The sequence below is a fragment of the Homo sapiens genome, chromosome 17 (genome assembly GCF_000001405.40).
Source record: "Homo sapiens chromosome 17, GRCh38.p14 Primary Assembly".
In the NCBI taxonomy this organism is placed as follows: Eukaryota; Metazoa; Chordata; class Mammalia; order Primates; family Hominidae; genus Homo; species Homo sapiens.
The window spans coordinates 69,220,697-69,240,916 of record NC_000017.11 but is presented as its reverse complement, the minus strand read 5'-3'; the positions used below and the strand labels follow the sequence as shown (position 1 = coordinate 69,240,916).

General features: G+C 36.9%; 1 protein-coding gene and 1 long non-coding RNA gene across 3 annotated transcripts in view, besides 1 other annotated feature; both read left to right on the top strand.

Moving 5' to 3' along the window:
- Positions 1-20,220, top strand: part of ABCA10 (ATP binding cassette subfamily A member 10) — a 96,842-nt gene that overhangs the window by 3,932 nt on the left and 72,690 nt on the right. The window contains exons 2-6 of one of the 2 annotated variants that reach the window (NM_080282.4): positions 12,057-12,336; positions 13,632-13,772; positions 15,388-15,592; positions 18,220-18,384; positions 19,022-19,125. In NM_080282.4, the coding sequence (NP_525021.3) occupies positions 15,559-15,592; positions 18,220-18,384; positions 19,022-19,125 (303 nt within the window). In that variant the 5' untranslated portion in view covers positions 12,057-12,336; positions 13,632-13,772; positions 15,388-15,558. Of the gene's footprint in view, positions 1-12,056; positions 12,337-13,631; positions 13,773-15,387; positions 15,593-18,219; positions 18,385-19,021; positions 19,126-20,220 lie in introns of those variants that run through there. The other variant, NM_001377321.1, reaches the window with a different exon arrangement.
- Positions 5,905-7,942, top strand: PRO1804 (uncharacterized LOC100133319). Its single transcript, NR_130736.1, has one exon. It is a non-coding gene; the product is annotated as an uncharacterized LOC100133319 (long non-coding RNA).
- Positions 7,973-8,173: a silencer, noted in NCBI's record as "peak2966 fragment used in MPRA reporter construct". NCBI's record gives its function as "represses an SCP1 promoter by STARR-seq MPRAs in K562 erythroleukemia cells {active_cell/tissue: K562}" and the evidence as "EXISTENCE:reporter gene assay evidence [ECO:0000049][PMID:32103011]".

Genomic DNA, 20,220 nt, shown 5'->3' with positions numbered 1-20,220 from the left:
ACATAGGTAATGTTAACTGAAGCACACTGCCAGAAGGCAAGGGGTCTTACCCAGAGTAAGGAAATTCTGAGAACAGATTTGAGACCCAGTGGCACAAATCTTAGCTACTGAAGAACTGAAAAGAAGGAAATTGTAAAGTGAAATTGAGTTTGTGATTGATTTCTTGGGAAAGCACTGCTGGGAAAGAGGAAGACAACTTTGGAAGGGGCCCATCCCTTGGAGGCTTGATGATGTAGAGAAGTCAGGCAGCTGAAGAGTTCTACAGAAACAAGTTAATATCACAGTCAGAAGACAGACCACCAAAATCTCACCACATGGTACTATTTACTAAAGAAATTGCATTTCACTGTACCAACCGAAGAGTGCTTTAGTTTGGAAACTAGGTTAGCCACTCCAAACCCTCCATTTCCTCTATTCTGGGACCATAGAATGGCCCATTGTTCAGGCTCCTGTGGATGCTGAAATGAACTGCCTATATTCCCCTTCAGAAATAAAGAACTTATTTCTCCTGCCTCTGAGAGTGCTACCATCAAACGGGTCACACTTTTCAACTCCCTAGGGCAGCCTTAGCAAACTAATACAAGCCCCATTCCAGGATCTGCTCCTAACTTCCTTCCTAATGGCCAATAACAAGGATTAAGACATAAAGTAACTTGGCGAAAGTTGTGCTGGTATTTCTGAGGGAAGAAATGTACTGTATCACACAAGAGCTGCAGGAGCTAGCCACATCTACCCATAAGAGCTAGGAGAATGTGCATGGGACTGGATTTTAAGGGTGCATGATCAAACAATGCAGAACATAAAGTTGGATAAGAGTTTATTCAGAGTACTCTTCTGGCCTAAAGGATTTTTAATGTCCTGGCAAGAATCCCAAGAGATGGTTCTTAGCAAGAACACACTGTTAAGATGCTTCCTGCATGGAAAAAGCAATTGCCCACCCAATGTCATGTATAAATATTGAAAAGCCATGGTACATGATGCAAGAAAAGGGTGAAAACACCCAGAAAACCAGGCATCCTGCGTGGGTGTACTATATGAGTTTGGAAAACACAGTAGATGACTAAATTCAAACGAACAAGGAAGGTACTATTGAAGGGCACGCCAACGTCACTATACAGCTAGAGGTGGCTGTCCTGTGAGCTGATGGTAAGTGATACCATGATAACACTGGGCTCACAGAGAGCAATGGGGGTGATAAAATCCTGACTAATAGAGGCCGGGTGGCAGCACTCAACAATTAGAAACCTAAGAAACCATGGGGACACAATTACTGTAAAAAGAACTGCAGAGCTCTCAACACAGAACAACTCTGTCGAAAGCCTGACACTGAGAGACTTGACCAAATTTTAGCACGGCCTCTAGCAGCATAAGGCAGTGTCTGTAGGGTGATCGCAGGTCCCTACCCCCATTTAAATAACAGTCTGAGAAAGCTCAATACTACCAGAAAAATCTACTTTTTGTTGTAGCCAACACATGATAACAGGCCCCTGATCTGATTTCTTAGAGCATTTATTTACTAAAAGGAGCTTACAATTATAAATATGTATCTTTTGCAGCTCACATGTTTCTTTCTCCAACGACCTGGGAACCATTCTTTTTAAAAATAGTTATCAAGAAGGATAAGGCCTCTGTCTTCCAGTCTCTGTGAGAGGATAGAATCCTAACTGATAATTGCCAGCTAAGAAACACAGCTGACCTAATCACATTCACACTGACCAACCCTTTGTACTTTTCTATTTCTCTGACTCTGCTGAGCCCCTACAACCTCCCTACTCCCACTCTCCTTTTTAAACACCCCAATCACCTCTGTACAGATCAGAAGGCAGCTCAGCTCTTTCCCCTACTGTCAGTAGTTACCAAATAAAATTTGTTTTCACTGCTTTAGTTTTTAGGCCATGTTATCTTTGACAACAGCTAGGCTGTGGGGGATGGGGACAGTGATCCACAGTTATGGAGATATTTAATAGAACATTGCATCTGTAGGGGCCAAATGAATGGATCATCAATGGAGTACTCATTCTTTACAATTAAATCAATGATGGGTGATCAGAAGGTTGAAGACAATTGCCTCAACAGAAGGTCATGAGTCCTCTCTGGTTTCTGGATCTGAGCCAGTTTTTGTACCCACAACCAATTGAAAGAGAAGTTGGGTCCCTAGGAGGAGGGACCCTGCAAATGATATATGGTATTGGTTTCCTCAGACCTCCTCCAAAGTAATCTATAGCCTTTAACTCAGGTAATTATATACTGGAGAAAACAGAATGCCCAATCATTTTAAGGCCTGTTTACCACAGGGTCAAAGTTGACACAAGTCCAAAGACTCAAAGTAAAGTATCATCATGCCCTCTCTGACAGAGTAAGAGGCATTTGAGTTCTAGATAATAACTAAAATCCTAGCCTAGAGCTAGTTCATAGAGAATCCACTAGTCTGTAGACCTATCTGTCATGTCTCTAGTCCCTGATTTGTAATTGGAATAGATATACATGGGAGTTGGCATAACCCCCATTGTTTTCTTGACCTATGGGGTAAGAACTATCATAGTGTGTATACTAGTTTTCTAGGGCTGCTGTAACATAGTACCACAAATTGAGTGGCTTAAAAAAACAGAAGCTTATTCTCTTACAGTTCTAGAGGCCAAAAGTCTAAAATCAAGATGTCAGCAGGGTTGGTTCATTTTTGGATACTCAGAGGGAGAATCAGTTCCATGCCTCTTTTCTAGCTTCTGGTAGTTGCTGGAAATTTTTTTTTTTTTTTTTGACAGAGTCTCACTCTGTTGCCCAAGCTGGAGTGCAATGGCGTGATCTCAGCTCACTGCAACCTCTGCCTCCCGGGTTCAAGCGATTCTCTTGCCTCAGCCTCCCGAGTAGCTGGGATTACAGGTGCCTGCCACCATGCCCATCTAATTTTTGTATTTTTTAGTAGAGACAGAGTTTCACCATATTGGCCAGGCTGGTCTCAAACTCCTGACCTCATAATCCACCCACCTTGGCCTCCCAAAGTGCTAGGATTACAGGTGTGAGCCACTGTGCCCGGCCAGTTGCTGGAAATTCTTCATGTTCCTTAGCTTGCAGATGCTTATCTCCAATCTTGTCACATAGCTGTCTTCCCTGTGAATGTCTTGTGTCTTCTTCAAAGGTTGCCAGTCATTTTGAATTTAGGGCCCACCCTACTCCAATATTACCTTGTCTTTTTACATCTGCAAAGATCTTTTTTCTAAATACAGTCACCTACTGAGGCTTTTAGGAAGGACATGAATTTTGGGGAAATTACAGTGAGAAAACTGTACTAGCCGCAGTCAAGATAGGAAATAAAAACATTTCATTTTGGGAGAGGGAATGGGAAAGGAATGGAAGAAGTTAGTGCCACCCTTAAAGACCTAAAGATGCAAGTGGGAGGGGGATGGTCTTTATAATATTTCCGTGTTAAATATACTAATCTTGGTCCTGCAAAAATCCAGTTCTAGAGGAGGATATTAGTCTAGAGCAAATTCAGCCAACTGTTGGCTTCAGTTGAGTAGATTAACCAGATGTGCTATCTTTGCCAGAGCTGATTAAGAAGAGCTTCTGTCATGTGGTATACAGCCACTGATTTGGCAAATGGCCCATTTTCCATTCCAATCAGAAACATTTTGCATTGATCTGGAATGTACAAAAGTATACATTTTGCTCTGCCCTAAGGCTACGTTTAGGGTTTTCTTTCTCTCTGCCAATAAATTCCAAAAGAGACCTGGATCAGCTGGTCATTTCATAGAACGTAAGACTTGTCGACTCCATTGATGACATCATGAATTAAATGAGTAAGAAGTGGCTAGTATATTGGAAGCCTTGGTTAGACATTGTGCTACAGAAGGAGTATATCAAAATCCCATGCCATTAATATTTGACCAGAAAATAATAACTTTTGCCATTTCCTCTTCACTATCCAAAATATACTGGATTTCTCCTTAGGAAACTTATTTTGCACTGAAGTGATTTGCTATTGTTTAATACAGGGTATCTTAACCTTGGTACTATTGACATTTTGGGCTGGATAATTTTTCGTTGTGAGAGACTGTCCTGTGTGTTACAGGGTATTTGTAACATTCTTAGCCTCTTCCCACCAGATGCCAGTAGCACACTCTCCCAAGACCAAAAATGTCTCCACACTTTGCCAAATATTTCCTGAGGGAGGGTTGGGGTGGGGGTAGGGGGAGGAAGACAAAATTACTCCCATTTGAAAATACTGATTTAATGCATTGATTTGGGTTGAAAATTGATTCATTTATCCAAAGGCGTCAGTGGAAAAGTTTGTTTTAATTATTTTCTGTAGTTTTTCCATACACAAGTAATGTTTCATACTCAGTGCTGAAAGGAGGTAGATTCTTGATTCTGGTTCACTCAGATTGAGGTAGTAGGGAGAAAATTTCGATTCTAATCTTGTAATAAATACATTCTATCAGTTTCATAGACTCTGTCTGCAGACTTATTCTCAAGGTCTTTGTGCATATTTGAATGCATGTCTTCTTTCAGTGCTGTTTTCAGTTAATCTTAGGTTGTCTTTGAATATTATGTGAACTATCTTCTTACATGTGAAGTTACTTATTTGCTATTCTTAAGTCATTTCTCAATGGGGTTCCCAATTTGGGACTACTCACTTTGGGCAGGGGGGATTTACAAGCCTGCATTATAAATATTAGAAGTAGGTGCCCTGGATAAAAATAAACTGTTTATAAAGACAGTGTGGCCGATCCACAAGTTTGAATAGCTTTGCTTACATTTTGAAGTTCAAAGAAAGAATCTTTTCAAAAAATCCTACTACTATTTGACTTGGCCATATATATATAGGTATTGTAAGATGCAAACCCAGGATCTTATCTTTGTCCTCATGGTTATTCCCATGCAGCTGAGGATACAAAACCTATACAGCAGACAACTGAGACAAAAGTTGAGAACTGAATTGTATAGAAAGCCACTGGAAGTTTTCTTTTGCCTAGTTAAAGCTCAAAAGAATTTACAATGTACAATTTAAATTCAGAGTTGTAACTGTGCTGGGGGACAATGAATTTTACACTGAAATGTGACAGTGTCAAGATTATTTAAAAGTATTGCATCTCTAACTTTAAAATTAAGGTTTTGTTTTTGTTTTTTTTGTTTTCTTTTTTTTAAATCTCAGTAACCATGAGAGATACAGTTTCTAATCCTGCCAGGTGGAAGCAGCACAATGCAAGGTGTGGGTGGGTGCCTAGTAGAAATGGGACAGAAAAAGAGTGAAACTCTGACCACCAGATGGCAGCAGAGGCTTGTGCCAAAGGGATACCTTTCTGGTCCCAGAAAGGGGTGGGGTAAGGCCGCTTGAGTAGTGGCAGTGACAGCAAGGCAGTCTAAGAAGCCAGAACTGAATGAACTAAGAAGCCAGAGCAGAACTCTTCTGAGCCAGAGTCACCCAAGTGCTAGTTCATTTGAGAAATGGTGAGGCAGTAATAGAGTTCAAGAGGTTAGAACAAAGTAAGAGGGGTGAGCCAGAGGATACTCCTAGCCATTCAACAAACTTAAAGAAGGCAGAACAGCTAGAGGTTGAAAAGGACAGGAATGGTTCTTAGATAGGACAGGACAAGAACCTGAAGTTAGATTGTAATCACCGGTTATAAATCCCTCCTTTGGTCTCTTTGAGGAGCCACAAAATAGGAAACGTTTCAGGCACTCTCCAAATGGCACAGAATCTAGTTATCTCTAATATTGAAAGTAAATTTTATTGATAACTGGGATAACTTGGAGGGAGATGGGCAGAGATGGTTAAAGGAAACCTCCAGAAATGGTGTTGTTTATCGTCTTTTTAAATAAAGATGTAACCATAGTCTCAAATCTAATTTTTTACTTCTCATTTCTTTTGCTTCAAAAGGGAAAACCAGTGATAGTCACATCCTTCAGAAAAATTAGTTAATTTTTTTCCTTAAACAAATCATTACTTAAGAATTTAATTGATAATTCCCACTGGGAGAAAGCATCAAGATGAGCAAAAAACAAGTGGCATTTTATTTGGAATATTTAAGAAGTAAAACAATTCCAATTGTTAGAAGAGACTTGACGTATAAGAACTAAGCATTAAAAATGGTAATTAAGATTAATTGAAGGTTTACTCTGTGAACGCCATTGTTTCATTGCTCTATGCAAATTTTGTAGAGCAAAAAATTCATTGACCAGCAGCATCAAAATTAACTGGGGAGAGTGATGCCAGCAAGATGACATAATAGAAGGTAACCCACTCATTACCCGCCACCCCCCATAACAACAATAATTCTGCACCACCACAGACCAAAGTCTCTGTGCAGGAGCCTCAGGATTCAGGTATAAGATTGTGAAACCCCAGTGGATCCCAAGACCTAGAGGTTGTTTTGAGAGTGCAGACTAGCACCCTAGTGGCTGATCTGCTGATTTTGCTTCTGGGTTCAAGCCTGGAAATGGTTCCATTCCCCAAGGAGCTTGGCTAAAAACTCATTTGGTCTTGAGCCTACAACCAAAACCATCTGCCAAGGAGTCCAGAAAGAATCATGTACACTAGTGCCTCAACAGAGAGCCTCCTCTGACTGCTGACAATGAATCTGAAAGTTGCCCTGTGACTTGACTTCAGCCCTTCTCTGCTAAAGTCCCAGCTCAGAACTGCTCACACAAGGACCTAGAGTGAGACTCGCCCATGTCTTGCATCCTGGGAGTCTGAACTTCCATGTTGTGCTCTCCAGCCTCTGTCCCATAATAGATCCTGAGGGAAGCCAGCCTCAGTTCTGACCCCTCTGCAGTCAGGGAACTAGCCCATCTGTGCAGAGACTTGCTGGGAGATGCACACTCATCTGAGCCAATAAGATAGGCTTGCCAGCTGCCTTCTGCAGGAGATCCAAGGGTCCCCAGTCTCAGCCCTGGCCTCACCTGCTACAATCAATGAACTACCTCACCTGTCCAGGGACTGTAGGAGATGGACATCCATCTTAGCTACCAGAACAGTCTTCTGGGTTTAGGTTTCTGGCCAGATTTTTCATACAACCTGGGTACCCTTCTTTGGTCTTCCCCAGGTCTATCTGGGCTAGAAAGCTGCATAAATCTCAGAGCTCTCCCAAGACTCATAGCAAACCTGGGCTTAGCATGCCCTTTAATGCTCTAATGCTGAGACAGCTGTACTGGTCTTGGGCTCAGGGAAGACAACAGTCAGTCTCCTTAGAGTCTGTGGAAGATCTCCTGAAGAAGAATGGATATAAACAAAGCCAGATTGGGGAAACTAGAATAAATGCCTAATCCGTCAATGTGCAGACATTGTCACACATCCACAAGCATCAAGAACATTTAGGAAAATATGACCTTACCAACTGGACAAAATGAGGCACCAGGGACTGGCCCTAAAGTGATGGGGATTGTGATCTTTCAGACAAAAAATGTAAAATAGCTGTTTTAAGGAAGATCAATGAACTTCAAGAATATACAGAAAAACAATTCAGAAATTTATCAGATAATTTAATGAAGATTGAAATAATAATTAAAAAAACCACAAACATGCCGGAGTTGAAAAATACAGGGAGCATAATGAAAAATGAAATAGAGACCATCAAGAGCAGAACTGATCAAATAGAATAAAAACATTAGGGAACTCAAAGACAGGCTGTTTGGAAATAATCAGAGGAGGTAAAAAAAAGAATGAAAAGACAGTGAAGAAGGCTTATGGAATTGATGGAACAACATTAAAAGAGAAAATATTCCAGTTGTTGGAGTTAAAGAGAGAGTTGAGAAAGACAAAGCAGTGTGAAGGTTATTCAAAGAAATAATAATAGGACTTTCCAAACCTGGAGAAAGATATAAATATACAGGAACTGGAAGATCACAGCTAATCAATCAGATTCAACCCAAATAAGAATACCCCAAGATATATTATAATCAAACTTTGGAAGGTCAAAGACAAATAGAGGACCCTGAAAATAGAGAAATAAAAGAAGCAAATAGCATATAAGGAAACTCCAATACACCTGACAAGAGACTTTTCCAGCAGAAACCTTACAGGCCAGGATGGAGTGGAACATGATGTATTCAGAGTACTGAAGGAAAATAAAACTGCCAACCATGAATACTGTATCCAGCAAAGCTGTCCTTCAGAAATGAAGGAGAGATAAAGACTTTACTAGACACACAAAAGCTGAGGGGAATTCATTACTATCAGACCTGTCCTATAAGAAATGCTGAAGGGAGTTCTAATCTAAAGAGAAGAATGCTAACATGATTGTTATTCTAATACTGTAATTGTGGAGCATAAACCACTTATATCGTTAGTATGAAGAATAAAAGTCAAAACTATTAAAAATAATAAATTATTTGCTAAGAGATAGGCAATATAAAATGTAAAATTTAAAAATTGTGACATCAAAAATTCAAAATGTGGGAGGAGAATGGAATTAAGTGTACAGTTTTTTTATTTTTCCTTTGCTATCAAAGTTAAGTTATTTTAAAATAACTTGTTAGATGTTTTTTTGTCAGCCTTACGGTAACCACAAAGCAAAAACCTATAATAGATATATTAAAAATACAAAGCAAGAAATCAAAACACTACTAGAGAAAATCATTTACACACAAAGGAAGATTGTAAGAGAAGAAAGGGTCCACAAAACAACTAGAAAACAGGTATCAAAATGGCAGCAGTAAGCCCTCATCTATCAATAATTAACTTGAATATAAATGAAATACATTCTTCAATCAAAAGACATAAAGTGGCTGATTGAATAAAAAACAAGACCCAACTATCTGCTGCCTACAAAAGACTCACTACACTTGTAAAGAGACACATAGATTGAAAATGAAGAGATGGAAAAAGATATTTTATGCACATAGAAACAAAAAAAAGAGTAGGAGTAGCTATACTTATATCTGATAAAATAACCAAAACTTTAAAATGAGATAAAGCCATTATATAATGATAAAGAGGCCAGTACAGCAACAGGATATAATAATTATAAATACATATGTACTCAACATAAGAGTACCGAAATATATAAAGCAAATATAAATAGATCTAAAAGGACAAATATACTGCAATAAATAATTGTAAGGAACTGGAATAGACAGATCATCCAGACAGAAAATCCCAAAGAAACATTATAATTAAACCACATATTAGACCAGATGGATATAACAGACATTTATAAAACATTCTGTCCAACAGCTGCAGAATACACATTCTTCTCAACAGCACATGGAATATTCTCCAGGAAAGGTCATATGTTAGGCCACAGAACAAGTCTCATCAAGTTTAAAAGAATCAAAATTACATCAAGTAGCTTTTCTGACCACAATGGAATAAAACTAGAAATCAATAACAGGAGGAACATTGGAAATGGTACAAATACACGGACATTAAACAACATCCTCATGAGCCACTAATGGGTCAATGGAGCAATTAAAAAGGAAAATATTTAGAACATTCTTGAGTCAAAAAGGGGGAACATGATATACTAGAACCAAAGGGATACAGCAAAAGCAGTTTTAAGAGGGAAGTTTATAGCAATACTTGCCTACATCAAAAAAGTAGAAAGATCTCAAATAACCTAACATGGCAACTCAAGAAACTAGAATAACAGGAGCAAACTAACTCAAAATTAGTAGAATGAAAGAGACAAATACACAGGAGAATGCCATTTGAAGACACAGGCACATAGAAGAGAGAATGCCACGTAATGACAACACAGATATTAGAGTTACGTATCTGCAAGTCAAGGAATGACAAGGGTTGCTGGCAATCACCAGAAGCTGGGAGAGAGAGCATGGCTTTTCAGATAGGACAATGATTTTTGGACTTCCGGACTCTGACACTTTGAGCAAATCAATTTCTAAGGTACCCAGTTTGTGGTACTTTGTTATGGCAGCCCTAGGAAACTAATACAATGGAAATTTGGGCAGGGAATGTAAGAAGATGAGCTAGTTTATAAGATATTTTATAAGATAAGGTAGCTTAAGAAAGCTGGCAGTGACAATATTTTCTCATATGTAATTGCCAGTCATATGTAAAGAAAGATGGAAGGAGAGAAGAGATTGTAATAGAAATTAACAATAAAATAAAAAGAGATAACCAAGAGAGCTAGATTTTTAGATTAGGTAATAGAATTTGATCGAAGGATTCTGCAGTGGTGTTGAGTTTAGAAAAAATTGGCTGAGTTTCCTCTGGGAAATTAGAATGAAATAGAGGTATGTGGAGGAAAACTTCTGCCAAATTGCCTCTGATTGTTCATTAATATAGTACATTTACCTGCTGAAAGCCATCGTGCTTTCAGGGGTCAAGGACTCAAGAGTAAGGAAGAGTTTGATGAGGAGGTGCTAGTTGGTATTATGTAACGTGGATGTGCATAAGCCTAAATCTGGAGTATTTCAACATTCTGACTCTGTAGCAGAACTGTATAATTATAAATATGTAAAGGCTAAGAATGAAAAGGGTCCAAATCCTATTATAAATGTGTAACAGAGACCTGAGGATTTTATATGACCTCTCCAAGGGACACAGACAATGAGTGACAAGTCTGCAATGCAGGTCTCAGACTCCCAACTGTACCGTATTGGAGATTGAAATCCCTAAAATTATTGTCTTAGCTTGTTTTTTATTGCTATAACAGAACACCACAGATTTAGTTGTACCCAGCAGACTGGGTAATTTATAAAGAAAAGAAACTTATTTCTCACAGTTCTGGAAGCCGAGAAGTCCAAGAGCATGGCACTGATATCTGGTGAGGGTCATCCCACAGTGGAAAGGTGAAAGGTGGAAGCATGTGCATGAGACAGAGAGAGAGAGAATTGGGCCTAACTCATCCTTTTATCAGGAGCCCATTCCCAAGATAATAGTGTTAATCCATTTATGAGGGTGGAGCCCTCATGACCTAATCACCACTTCTAAAGGCTACACTTCTCAATGCTGTTTCATTGGTAATTAAATTTTAACATGAATTTTAGAGGAGACATTCAAATCACAGCAATTATGGAAATAAAAAATATTTTAAAAATTTGGTGATTAAGAAGGGTGTATGTCTGTATTATAGTATGATTTTAATTGTTTTCCCCACCCATTTAAGTGAATATTACCATTAATGTCTGGGATCGGAACCAGGTTAAGTTTCATGTTTTCTATTTCATGAACTTTTACTTCTAGTAATGATTTTGCCTGAATAGGAAGAGAAATGTCACTAACAACAAAGGAAAGCAATTAAAGTATGCTTCCTTTGTTGTTAGTGACATTTACAATTAAAGGAACCATTTATTTCCATATTCCTAATGAAAATGGTAATCATTTGAAGAGTCTCTGAGTCCTTTACCCTTTCTGTCTCTGTCACTTTCATGAATGGGCATTAGCTTCTGTATGCATACCAAGAAGTGTATTATTATAGTTAAAATCACATAAAAAGATTTTCAGGGTTGATAAAGAGGCATTATTTGCCATTCTGAGAATATCCAATTTAGTTGTAGCTGAAAAAAAAGTAACAAAATCATTAAAGTTATGCCATCTAGTCTATACCACTACACTTTTTAAATGGGTATCAGATATCATTGTCTTGATTAGCACCATTTTCATAGTGGTAGTTAAGAGTGAGGGATCTTGGAGTCCAGATACTATTCTGGACTCATCTGTTGGCTTCACACTTATTTAAACATCTGCAAATAACTTCACCTGTTAGCCCCACCTTTCAAATTTGTTTAATGGATGTGAGTAGAGTACCAACTTTGTAGGTTTGCTTTGAGTATCAAATGGGAGAATTCATTTAAACCCTTAGAACACTTTCTAGTACATAGGAATTAGTGAATACAAGGAACCATTTAACTGAAATGCAGTTAACTTTCAGATGAAACTTTCTCATTGGAATGATTCAGATTTCTGAGATGAGCAATCCTCATTTTCTCTCTCTCTGTTCAACTTTATCTTTAATTTGCTCCTTTTTTAGCTTGGCTGTCAAATTTTTAATTATTAAAAGTCATGCAATTGTAAATATGTAGTTATCCATGCAATTGTAAATATGTGGGTTTTTCTTTTTGAATTTGATCTCTTTTTTTGTGTGTATGCCAAAAAGAGCAATAAACAAATACCAATGATGCGCTCAGCCAACAATTCATTACACTCTCTGAAGAGTAACTGGACAAGGAGAAAAACATAGGGAAAAAACCAACAGAATTTGTTGGCATGTTCTACACACAGACCATGGCTTTTCAGAAGCCAAGCTGAATCAAAACAGTTTTAAAAGAGGCAACCATTTGTAGAGGAGTCCTTGAAGGATTCTTCATTGTTTTCTTGGACAAAAAGAGACCAGTGGATCCAAGTGCTTCAAATACTTCTCTCTTATTTTCTTAACTGTAAGTTAAAATTTGTTTTACATTTTCACTTTGCATAAGGTTTTAAAGATATAAAGTATATAGCCAAAGCCAAACATATTGATTGAAATTTTTAAAATTATATTATTCAGATGCTCTAAATTATTTTATGCTTTATGTTATAGTACTAGTGAGTTATTTTATTTTAAAAACTTATGTAACATTTTAGTGTGATAAATGAAAGATGGCTAGATTCAGAGGTGTATATAAATATTATCAGACAATAAATTCTCTCTCTGACACTGCTTTGAATATCCTTTTGAGAATTTGTATGGTTTTACTTCTTTAGAATGTGTGAGCATTAGGGCAAGTTCCTTTTTTCTGTGTTCTTTTGTTCTTTTAAAATGTTTTTGTGGTTTGCTTATGGAGCTGTTTAAGTAGACCTCTGTATCCATAAAGTGAAGATTGGTGTTTTAATGTTTCTACTTTCTTAAGTTAGAATTTAGAGATTATATTGGGTTTTGCTGGCTTTGCCTTTTATTTTATGAAAAAGGGGAAATATAGCAAGTTCTCTCTGAACATTGTAATTTGTATATAATATCAACATTTATTCAAATGGACTTCAGTAGTCATAGTTGTGACACCAAATGATCAGCTCTGGATTTTCAAATTGAAAACAAAGAATAAGGATCATTATTACAAATCAATTACTCTAGTCATATTAGCCAATATTTTTGGTTTTAATCTGTATGTATCTTACATATTTACTTCATAAATGGAGATTTAAAAAAGAGGAATTAGCTTTTTGGGATTCTAAGAATGGCCGTAATGTTTTCGACTTTGCTTTGCCCAGTGGTTAACAAGATATCAAATACATGTGCCCAGATGTGCAATTCAAAATAAGACAGCTTGTGGTCAAATTGCTGACTGACAAGGAACTGCAAAGTGGTTTCTTCCTGTTAAACTTCTTTTTCTTAACAAGTAAAGAGAAAGTGTTTTTTGGATTCTAAAAATTACTAAGATCTTATTGAGGGATTTACTTTAGGTGGATGTAATGTTAAGATTTCATGGAAAAAAAGTGACTTCTGAGACAAAAGGAGAAAGGTCTTATATACTATCTCCTTTATCTCCCTCATAGCCATAAAAGCCTGGAGAGAAATAACAACTGAGAAGACATTTTATAATTACTAATACTTTATATTCTTTTTTAAAATCCTGATTGAATATGTTGCTACAGTGTCATATAAGGCATTTAGTTGGCACATCTGAAAATTATGCTTTCAAAATGTTCAAAGGCTTTCTGTAACTGAACTTTTTTTTTTTCTTTTTTCCCCTAGCTATTGCTCTGCAATATTTACTTTACCCTGTTAATGAACAGGACAAAATGGTTAAAAAAGAGATAAGCGTGCGTCAACAAATTCAGGCTCTTCTGTACAAGAATTTTCTTAAAAAATGGAGAATAAAAAGAGAGTTTATTGGTATGATTCACTATATATATATATATATATCCATAATTAATAAATGAAAATCCACCATATAGTATTATGCCATTTTTATTACTTTTCTTGTTTATAAATTCTGATTTTTAATTATCATACTGGCTAGTTGATTTGAGATTCTAAATACTGCAAAACGATATATATTTTGCAAAATAGGATAATATTTGTGTCAAATGTGAAATTAACTAAAAAGCTCATCTGACAGCTCCTGAAAAATAATCTTTTGCAGAATAGAACCAGCCATTTTCCACATAATTAATGCATTCAAATCTCAGAGTCATTCTGATTTACTCTTAGCTAACTTCTGTGTTGGGGGCAGGGACAGCCAGGGGAAAGATAAGCTAGGCAAAATAAAATAGATTTTTACGTGGGCAAACCCTGATACTATTTGGGGACATTTCGATTAATGTCATGTTATTTGGTAAGGCTGGGAAAATATCTATGAGTAAAAATCTGCAAACTTTTTTGGAATCTCTTCAAAGCCGTGCTTTTTGTAAACATAGAATGGTTTCATGGAATAAGATCACAGATTGTCAATACCTTTGCATTCTGTTGAGTTTCTTGTATGCTGACATGAATATTAAGACATTGCTTTGTGTTACTATGAGATATAACTGGATCTGCCTTGACCATGTAGAGATTGCAGTCTGTTCAGAAATAGTCAGTACCATTTCAGTGGGAGCTAACAGGATTTATATCATCCTTTTAAATTTCTGCAATAGCTTCCGAAGCAGTTCGATCAAATATTTTGCTTCGTATATTGAAGAAGGATACATCTATATTTATTACTCACTAGAATTTAAAAAAAGTATGTCAATCCAGAAATGTGAAAATATTGGTACAATGAACACCTATACATCCACCATCCAGATTTGACAGCTGTTAACATCTTGCCATCTTTGCTTCATCTCTCTGTCTCCTCTTCTTCCCTAAAATATATGTAATGGCTAAATATTTTAGTATCTCAAAAAATTAAGAACTTGGTTCCCTACATTACCACTATCCCACTACACAAAATTAAAAATAATTCCATATCATCTAGTTCCATGGCCAAATTCAATTTTCCAAATTTCCCCCAAAATGTCTTTTAAGGTTGATTTGTTCAGGAACCAATGAGACAAAACTAGTTATCCTGTTGAATATTCCATGTTCTCTTTTTATCTGATTGCCTCTCCATGCTGTCATTTAAGTCATCCCTTTATCATCTATATTTTTTGTAAGCAGTGAGCTGGATCTAAAAGCAGGATCCAATTCTGGTTAAATATTTTTGGCAAGAGTATCTTCTGTGTGATGCCATATACTTACGTTGCTTCAAATATGAGGGCATAAAATCAATGGCAGTCCCACTAATAGGGGTGCTAAATCACTGGGTTAAGATTGATTGCAATTGTTGATATTATCTCAAAAGTTGTGTATTTTTGAAAGGGTGTTTTTTTCTTTAAAAGGTAGATATTAATTTGGGCAGAAAAAAATTACAGACTGAAATGAAGTCATGCTCAATGGCAATACATTCTGCCTTAAAAATGTGTTTGGATGTTTCTCACTGGTCTGGACCACGTTATAACATGGCTCATTTCTCTTTTGTGTGCTGGAGGAATGGACAATAACATTGTTTCTAGGGCTATATTTGTGCATCTTTTCGGAACACTTCAGAGCTACCCGTTTTCCTGAACAACCTCCTAAAGTCCTGGGAAGCGTGGATCAGTTTAATGACTCTGGCCTGGTAGTGGCATATACACCAGTCAGTAACATAACACAAAGGATAATGAATAAGATGGCCTTGGCTTCCTTTATGAAAGGTGTGTTGTCCAATAACCAATGTTTCAGTATTATGTGACTTAATTTTCAAGTTCTTTTTGCAGGTTGAATTTACTTACCTAGCCTGTGTGTCAGTGATTCTCAACTGAGGCAAAGATTCTCATTATATATGCAGTACAGGGGTTGGTGTGAAGCTAAGGGTAGGTGGGCAACAGATGAAATGATTTACTTTTGTTTGTTTGTTTGTTTTTAATGATATGCATACCGTTTGCCCTTTATACTAGAACATATTGTTGCAGTAGGAAAAAAAGATTGGACCCATTTTAGATGATACAAATTTCACTTTTCCAAAACTTAACTTAAAAAACTTTATATTTGGGTTGGTATTCTATAATTTAAAGAGTTTCAAAAAATTTTAAGGATTTAATTATTTTCAATTGAGATTGAAATAAATATAGTTCCCAGTATATAGGAATTATAAATCAAAGGTGTTTGAAATTCAAACTCAAGCTTAGCAATGGTGTTGAAAAAGCATTACTGTTTGGTGTATAAAAATAGTTAAAATGTACAGCTCAGGGCATTTAAAATTATTTAAAATCAAATCAGGTATTGGCTACTGAAAGTCAACAAATTCACAGCCCTTGATCTTAGAGTAGTGAGGCTTTTTTTTTTTTTTTCCCATAAGACTTTTTCTGCATATCTGGACTCAGAAAATAGATGTCTCTATGTTATGTAGGATGCTGCATTAATTTGATGTATGCATCTCATAAAGAAATAAGAACACCTGAGAGTCCTACTTACTATGTGAGACCTTTGCCTACCATCCTTTATATCTCTACTGCCATTAGGAGTAACTATTGGTGGTCAGCTGTGGTCTCTGGACTCTCCATAGAGGCCTTTGCTCCTGCATAGGGAAAGTATCAGGATAAAATGTTCTTTTCTTCAGCAATCTTAGCCTACTATCAAATTTCTCTTGTTGTTAGCCCTCATTCTGCCAGGGTTCTGAACATTGGCCATTTCATCCTTTTGTACATTTTATCCAATCTGTTAACGTCTCAGCTCTAATCACTGCTTTTTCTTGTCTTTCTGAAACTTTTATTTAGTTTTTTGGTGTCTGGATTGCCATGCCAAGGGACACCTCCAAACTCTGAATTTTAATTATTTTATGTGAGTTGCTAATATTCTGTGCCTAACCTATCCAAGCTTTCGAATGGGTATTGTTATCCCTGGCTGCTTTACCCTGTTTTGTAATTCTTCATTGCAGTTTCTGGAGCTTTGACTTTGGTGGGCCTCCCTTACTTGCATTGTTTACATGTTCTGCCTGACCACAGTGTTGATTCTGCCCTGATCTGTCTCTATTCACTTCCTTTGTGTAGTCATTTACCTCATTTTTTCTGAACTCATGAAGCATTTACTGAAGCCTCAGGGACTATTCTTCCTGTATGCACAGTGTAAGCTAATAGCCACTTTCTGTCTTAGTCTCACGGACCACTGGACTCTGTCTCTTTCTTATATAAAATATCTCATTCCAGCTACCATGCTCGCCTGTTCCAACCACAGCTCCTCTCTCACTGTCTTATTCTACATTTATCTAACTCTTGCTTTTTAGCATAAATATTCATGGTTTGGCCTTGACAGTATTTTTTATACCCCTAGAGAAAATCAGTGATGTTAGCACTGTCCTCATAAAAGTTTCACCGCCTGACTCTATATTGGGAAGGATGAGGAGTTTTGAAAGGTATGGCTACAGCATAAAATAAACAGCTTTTTCATCTTAATGTAGATTTCACCCTGAGTGAGATACAAAGTTAATAAAATTTTTAGAACATAATACATAAACGTGAAAAAGGAGGCACTAATTGGACCAGTGATTTTCAAAGCTTCTGTTAGTAATAGATCTATTAAACACTTAGTGGGTGGATTACTCCTGCAGATTGTAAACTCATTCATTTATGCACTGATTACTATACACTTAATTCTTAGAGAGTGTTCTTGACCTCAGAGAATCTGTAGGTAGACTATATTTTTTATTTTTGTACTCTGATTTTTTGTATACAATTTACCTCTAGTGTACTATTTTCATGTGATATCAGTTTATAATCTTGGCAGAAAAAGAGAAAACACCAAATTCTGAGTATTTGTATTGCTTACTTTAAATATTTTTCCTTTTAATTCTTAAATTATTTTAGTCACTAAAGTAATATCTACTTTAAAAAAAGTTGAATAGTACAAACTTGTATGAAGCAAAAATATGAGAGCTTTTCCTTTCATCTTCACCACTACTTCCTCTCCTCCCCTACCCCCTCTCCTCCCCTACCCCTCATTCAAATTGTGTATATCCTTCAAGGCAAATATGCACATGGTCATATATAGAGTATGTTTCTATGCTTACATAGGCACATAAATTCAGTTTTCTTTACCAAAATGAGATCACACTAAAAGCAATATGCTGCAGATTTTTAAAAGACAATGTGTCCTTTGTGTCTTTTCATGTATTTGCATTGAACTTAAAACAATAGTTTCACTCAGCCTTTTACTAAGAGGCAGCTATCCAGAAATAATATATAATACCACTAATTTTATATAAAACAAGCAACTGTATTTTGTTTTTGTGTCCTCTAGTAATAAGTTTACATGATTATTTATTTATGTTTTTCATACATGGTAGGAAGAACAGTCATTGGGACACCAGATGAAGAGACCATGGATATAGAACTTCCAAAAAAATACCATGAAATGGTGGGAGTTATATTTAGTGATACTTTCTCATATCGCCTGAAGTTTAATTGGGGATATAGAATCCCAGTTATAAAGGAGCACTCTGAATACACAGGTAACTATAAAAAAACTGATTATAATTTTTTTTTGATACTTCATGGAATCCCCTGTTTGGAATGACTGATAGGAATATTAATACAACCAAGTAAAGAATTAATATACATTTCCCTCTGAACTTAATCATCAGTCTTTAACTTAGGATGAGTCTCATTATTTTGGCAACTACTCATATGTCCTTTTTTTTTTTTTTGAGATGGAGTCTCCCTCTGTCACCCTGGCTGGAGTGCAGTGGCGCGATCTTGGCTCACTGGAACCGCTGCCTCCCGAGATCCAGTGATTCTCCTGCCTAAGCCTCCAAAGTAGCTGGGACTACAGGCTAATTTTTTTGTATTTTTAGTAGAGATGGGGTTTCACCATGTTGGTCAGGCTGGTCTCGAACTCCTGACCTCAAATGATCCACCCGCCTCGGCCTCCCAAAGTGGTGGGATTACAGGCATGAGCCACTGCCCCTGCCATCATATGTTCTTTTTTTCTCCAATTCTGTAGAGTACTTTAAAAATCCTCTATATCATATAATCATAGGCTTTGAGCTAACATTTAGATATTTTGATTTTTGAGCCAAAGTTAAAGTTTTAATTCCAGGAGTTGACTCCATTATATAACTATGGACATGTTTTTCTTCTTCCTTAAAGAACACTGTTGGGCCATGCATGGTGAAATTTTTTGTTACTTGGCAAAGTACTGGCTAAAAGGGTTTGTAGCTTTTCAAGCTGCAATTAATGCTGCAATTATAGAAGTAAGTGCCTAACTTCAAAGCTATATTTTAAATCTGTATTCTTCCCTCTTTTTAAATATCTGCCTCATCCCCTACCTTACTCTTACACTCTTAGGAGGTGATACTTTGCCTGTCATCCTCAGAGAAAACAAAAGCTGTCACATGGGAATATCTCCCAACTTCTAACATAAACCCTGTAAAACTACAGACCTATGACCCCCTACACACATTCTCTTTCTTCATCCCTAATGTCTTTCCTCAGTTCATGGTCTGGATCCCATCCCTCCCAACTTCATCAGCAAAGTTCAACTATGGACTTTTGTTTTTGTCTCCTCTTTTCAATCTCTGCCTTTCTGCTAGATTCTTCTCTTCAGGATTTAAAATTAATTTCTTCACTTATGGTCAAGACCTTCCTTTATCCACTTTCCTCTTCACACAACTACCCTAACTTCCTTCTATTAATGGCTAAGTTTCTTGAAAGGGTTGTCCTCCTTTGACTCAACTCAACTCAATATTATCTATCCCTACCACACCATCAAAAGGGCTTTTTCTAAGGTAAATAACAACTTCCATGTCAATTAACAGCTTCTTTATTCCTCACCTTACTTGATATTTCAACTAAATAACATAGATTCACCTGATTTCCCTTCTCCATTTCTAGCCTTTCCCTCTCAGTCTTCTTGCCAACTTATCTCCCCTTACACTCCTACATCTTTCTATCTGTAGTTCCACAAAGTTCTATCTCAGGCATCTCTTTCTATCCCATATGTTTTCTCTAGATGGTCTCATTTATTCCCGTACTTCTCATTATAATTTATATGCTGATGACTCCAAGAACTCTAACTTGTAGACTAGCAACATTTTTCTGTAAAGGACCACACAGTAAATATTTTAGGCTCTGGGGGCCAAATGTGTTGTAACTGTTCACCTCTGCTGTTGTAGTATGAAAGCCGCTGTAGATAACACAAACAAATGAGTGTGCCTGTGTTCAATAAAATGTTATATACAAAAACAGGTGGTGGGTCAGATTTGGTCTGGGAACTAAAGTTTGCTGACCTCTAAAGGAGCTAGGGACTAAAAGAGCTAGACGTCTGCTCTAGCTCCATGTATCTGACT